Source organism: Homo sapiens, chromosome 22, assembly GCF_000001405.40.
Source record: "Homo sapiens chromosome 22, GRCh38.p14 Primary Assembly".
Classification (NCBI taxonomy): domain Eukaryota; kingdom Metazoa; phylum Chordata; class Mammalia; order Primates; family Hominidae; genus Homo; species Homo sapiens.
Window position 1 is genome coordinate 35087537 of NC_000022.11, and position 6255 is coordinate 35093791.

Genomic DNA, 6255 nt, shown 5'->3' on the forward strand with positions numbered 1-6255 from the left:
GGGCAGGGTTGGAGAAGTGTTTATGCAAATGCCACCTCCAGCCTCCCAGAGGGGATGTTTGCTTCCCAGCTTTCTCAGTCTCCTACTAGTGTCTTATCTAGCCTGGCCTTGGGCATGACCCCTCTGCCCTAGAGATGTATCACCCCATTCAACTCCCTATTGGGGGTTCACTCCACATCCTCCGCTGTAGCCTCTCACCACAGTTGTGAATCCTCGCTGGCTTCCTCTCTTTCTCATGAGCAAGAGGAAAAGCTGACAACTATCCCACACACTTCTAGGGCCATGGGAGCCCTGGGCCAGGCAGCAGGTCTCATTCATTCTAGACCTCCTACAGCCATTTCTCATGCCCTGGTGATAGGAAGGTCATGGATGAGACTTGCAGATCTCCAAACTTGTAAGAGGAATGGAAAAGATGCAGGTCCCCTCTGCTCTGGGGTCCCACTCCCCTTTCTCAGCAACATACTCCTTCCCCAGGCTCCTCTTGAAACAGGATTTTCTCAACCATAGAGATTCAGATGATCAGATGTCTCAGCTTCACTACTGAGGTAAACATTGATTTTGTGAGGCCACTTCTTTCCCCCCAGGAATTTTCTCCCCAATAACTATTTTTATTCCCTTTACCTTATGTGTGTGGGATAAAGGAATCACTTTAGAACTCTTGCCAGGTGTGTGACCTTGGGCAAGTGGCATGTCCCCTCTCTGTACCTGTTCCCTGGATAACAACAATTTCTTGCCTCTTAGAGTTTCTGTGACAATTAAATGAGTTAATACATTTTGGCACATGGTGGACACTCAAGCCATATTAAGAAAAACTCATTTTCCCAAATACACCTTCTACCTCTTTCTACTTCTGAGCTTGAGCATCCATTCTGATCTCAAGCTCTATTCCAGGAGTTCTTAAACCAGTCTCCAGGAAGTCAAGGAGCTCCCAAGAGACTATGCAAAATTGTGTGTATCTGTGTGTTTATTTTTTCTAGGGAAAGGGTTCATTGCTTTCATCAGCTTTTCAAAGAGCTCTGGGGCATAAAAAATAATAATAATAAAGAATCTCTGTCAGACATATCTGAGTCAGATCTTGACAGCTTCATATTCTAGCTGTGAGGACTACAGACTTGAGAGAAGATGAAGGATAACTATTTTAGAAAGGTAAAATAAAAAAATATTGCTATGGTTTGAATGTGTCCCCCAAAAAATGTGTGTCAGAAACCTAATCACCGTTGTAACAGTGTTAAGAGGTAGAACTTTTAAGAGGTGATTAGGCCATGAGTCTCTGTCCTTATGAATGGATTAATGTTGTTATTACCAGAATGTGTTCCTTATAAAAGGATAAGTTCAGAATCTCTCTCTCTCCACCCCCCAACCCCCGGCACCTTCTCTCCCCTTCTCTCCTCCACTCCTCCACCATTTTCCTTCCACCATGGTATGACACACCTTGACAGCAAGAAGGCCCTCACCAGATGCCAGTCCCTTGTTCTTGGACTTCCCAGCCTCCAGAACCATGAGCCAATAAATTTCTTTTCATATATTAATTACCCAAGCTGTGGTATGCTGTAATAGCAGCACAAAATGAACTAAGGAAAATAGAAAATGAACAAATGCCCAAGTTTTATTTAGCTCATTAATTAATGAGAGAACTGCTAAGATGTCATAACCAGCTCAAAGGTGAACATGCACACATATTAAAGGAACAGACAAGCATACAGGCAATCAGGAATGCTGAAATGAATTACAAATAAAGAAAAACAAGAGTCAATAGCCATAGGGAAACAATCAATTTCATCTCCACCAAGCATGACTTATTTGCATTTCTAGTGACAAGAATCACTTTCATTTCTAACCATTCTCTACTCATTGAAGTTGAAAAATAGCTCAAAGATAATAAAGATGCAGATATTCTGAAAGAATGTGCTAGACAAAATACCCTGTAATCTTTATGGGCCCTTTTCAAAATCTTTCAAAAATTTGTACCCGCATAAAGTTACTTTGTCTATCTGAATCTCACTTTCCTCATCCATTAAATGGGGATGACCACCTGCCTCAGAAGATTGCCATGAAGATTATATTAGATGATGTGCGTATAGTTTGTGCGAATAAAACACTTTGAGTGTAGGAAATCTTTATTGCTTTTCAAGCTCCTCTAGAACTCAAGTTTAAAAGCCCATATCTGTAAAGTGTTTTGAACTACAGTAATATTTCTTTAATATCCATCCACCTTTTATAGTTCAATTTCTTAAAAGGCTAACCCAGAGGCCAAGTTGGGTGGATCACGAGGTCAGGAGATCGAGACCATCCTGGCTAACATGGTGAAACCCCGTCTCTACTAAAAATACAAAAAATTAGCCGGGCGTGGTGGTGGGTGCCTGTAGTCTCAGCTACTAGGGAGGCTGAGGCAGGAGAATGGCATAAACCCAGAAGGCGGAGCTTGCAGTGAGCCAAGATCATGCCACTGCACTCCAGCCTGCGCGACAGAGCAAGACTCCATCTGAAAAAAAAAAAAAAAAAAAGGCTAACCAAGCAATAGAAAATGGGCAAAAAGCAAAAATAAGAGATTCACAGGAAAAACATAGAAATGGATACTAAACATATGAAAATATTCTCAACCTCACTCATAATTAAAAACGTAAGTAAGTTAGTAATGAAATATATTTTTAACCCTTCAGATTGGCAAATATTTAAAATGTTGGTGAAGAATTGATGAAACAGGCACTCTCATATATAAGAAAGTGTGAATTAGTAAATCATTTTTGAAGACAGTTTGGCATCAACTATTAATATTCTAAATGCAAATCTCTTGACCTAATTGTATTTGCAAGAATTTATCCAATAAATACACATGTATATAAACACTGTATATAAGAATGTTCACCAAGGCTTTATAATAGCAAAAACTAGAAACCATCTAAATAGGACACTGGTTGAGTCTATTGTAATATATTCATCTGGCTGTTAAAAATAAGAGATTGTAATGTGCCTCATGAGAAATTACCATTAGATATGTCATTAAATAGAAATATCAAGTTGCAGAACAGTATTATGATCTCACTTAAGAAAAAAATGAAAATGATATCTTCATAAAAACAACCTTTTGTATAAATGTATGAGGTACAAGTGCCATTTTGTTACATGCATAGATTGTATTGTGATCATCAAGGCTTTTAGGGTATCCATCCTTCAAGTAATGTACATTGCACCCATTAAGTAATTTTCTCATCATCTATCCCCCGCTTACCCCCTCATCCTTTCAAATCTCCATTGTCTATCATTCCACTTGCTATGTCTATGTGTACATATCTTTTAACTCCCACTTATGAGTGATAAATGCAATATTTGTCTAACTGTGCCTGACTCCACTTAGATAATGAGCTCTAGTTCCATCCATGTTCCTGCAAAAGATATAATTTTATTCTTTTTTATGCCTGAATAGTATTCCATTGTGTATGAACATTACATTTTCTTCATCCAATCCTCCAGTGACAGACGCTTAGGTTAATTCCATATCTTCGCTATAGTGAATAGCGCTGCAATACACATATGAGTGCAGGTATCTTTTTTATATACTGATTTCTTTTCCTTTGGGTAGATACCAAGTAGTGGGACTGCAGGATTAAATGGTAGCTCTATGTTGAGTTCTTTGAGAAGTCTCCATGCTGTGCTCCATGCTTGTACTAATCTACATCCTTTATAGGCCAGTGGTTTTTGCATAAGTCAGTTTCTGCTCCATATCAAACTACCCCAAAACTTAGTGGCCTGAAACAGCAATCGCTTCTTTGGTTCATAGTTCTGTGGCTTGACTAGGTTCTTCATCTGGTGTGGGCTGATTCAACTAATCTCAGCTGGTCAATCTATGGCCACTGGGTGATCTAGGATGACCTCACTCACAGGTCTGGGTTGGCAGGCTGTTAGCTGAGGTAACAGAGTGAGTGGGCCACATGGCTCTCATCAGCTTCTTCATTTAGGAGTCACTGGATTCCAACAGCGCAAAAGCAGAAGCTAGGAAAGACTCCTGAAGCTTAAGGCTCAGAATTCATACATCACTCCTGTTGCATTCTATTGGTTAAAGCAAGTCACAAACCCAGCTCAGAGTGAAGGTATGGGAAAGTAGATTCCTCCTCTTTGTGGGAAGTGCTGCCGAGTGCCATTCTGTATTAGCATGTTTTCACACTGCTATAAAGAACTACCCCAAACTGGGTAATTTATAAAGGAAAGAAGTTTAATTGATTTATAGCTCAACGTGGCTTGGGAGGCCTCAGGAAACTTACAATCATGGCAGAAGGGGAAGGGGAAGCAAGTCACCTCCTTCACGTGGCAGCAGGAAGGAGAAGTGCTGAGTGAAGGGGGAAGAGCCCCTTATAAAACCATGAGATCTCATGAGAATTCACTCACTATCATGAGAACAGCATGGCGTAAACCATTTACCTCCACCTGGTCTCTCCTTTGACACGTGGGGATTATGGGGATTATAATTCAAGATGAGATTTGGGTGGGGACACAAAGCCTAACCATATCACATGCCTTGTTTACCATCCACCATGACTATCAATGCCCATCTCATCCAGACCTCTTCCCTGAACTCTCCTGACAGCTACACTTGTATGTCTGTCTAATAGGCATTCAAGCTTAACATGTCTATGTACAAACTCTATGAACTACCCTCCCCAAACCTGCTTCTTCCTCAGCCTTCCCCCTCCCGGCAAATTGCAATGACTTTCTTCTAGCTGCTCAGGCTAAAATCCCAACAGCATCCTCAATAACTCTCTTTTCTAATCAACTAGCAAACCCGGCATTCAACCCCACCTCCCTGACACCAGACACCAGTATGTGTGCTCTAATGCCCACAGACACTCCCTAGTCTCCCTGTTCTCACCTTGCCCACTGGGCTCTATTCCTCACTTGACAGCCCAAGAAATCTTGGTAAAATGTGAGTGAGATCACACCTCTCAGAACCCTAAGTTCTTTTCTGTCTCAATAGAAATAAAGTCAAAGTCCTTCACATGGCCAGCTTGGAAGGCCCTGGGTCTCCTAACACTTCCCCAGTGCTCTCTGCCCCAGCCATGCTGGCCTCCTGCCCACCTGCTGATCCAAGGCACAAATCATCCTGCCCCGAGGCTTTTGCACTTACCATTTATTCATTCTGCCTGAAGCATCCTTCTCCAGCTATTTGAACAGCTCACTCCCTCACTTTCTCTTGTCTTCCCTCAAATACCACCCACAGATCCACCCCCACACACTATCATTCTCTAGCCCTATACCCCACTTGATTGTTTTTATAACACGTATCAACACCTGATATATTATACATTCATTTATTTACTTATTGTCTATCTCCCAACAGTAGAATGCTGGTTCATTTTGAGGAACCAAAACGGGGCCTGGCACATTGTAGGCACTCAGTATTTGTTCTATGCACATGCAGTGTGCACACACATGTGCATGTGTCTATTTAGGCATAGAAAATTTCTCTATGAATACACAAAAAAAACCATGACAACAATTACATCCAGGGAGTGAGCTGGAAGTATCAAGCGATAGAGACAGAAATGTTTATTTTCACCGATGACCCTCAGTGTTTGAATTTTTGCTGTTAAGTCTATAATTCTATAAATTAAAATGTTAATAAATAACAGAACAGTTAATGATGTTTCTCTCCTATCTTTCACATTTTACAATTTTACATTCTGCTACCAAAGAAAATGTTAGTCTGCCTCTTCTGGTGCTGGAGGGGGTCTCCCATGGGGACTGGGTGGGGGGGTCAGCCAATTAGCCATTCCAGCAAATAACAGGAGGGAGAAGTGAAGGGCTGGAAGGGGTTATCCAGAGGAGGGAGAGCAGGACTCAGGGGACAAGGAGAAGCGAATAGGGAACTCTGGGAGCCAAAGCAAAAGGAGATCAGGTCCACTCACAGAGAAAAACGGCAGGCCTAGAATTAGAGAAAAGAAGCCCTCCCACCCAAGAAACAACTCTTACACATAGGATTACATATAGGATGGTTTGTAAAGTAATCTCAGGGGCATAAAGGCAGAGGATGAGCAGAAAAAAAAAACACCTCCAGCCTGGCATGATGGCTCATGCTTGTAATCCCAGCACTTTGGGAGGCCGAGGCAGGCGGACTGCCTGAGGTCAGGAGTTCAAGACAAGCCTGGCCAACATGGTGAAACCCTGTCTCTACTAAAAATACAAATAAATACAAAATAATACAAAAAAAAAAACCCGTCTCTACTAAAAATATGGGCGTGGTGGCAGGCGCCTCTAATCCCA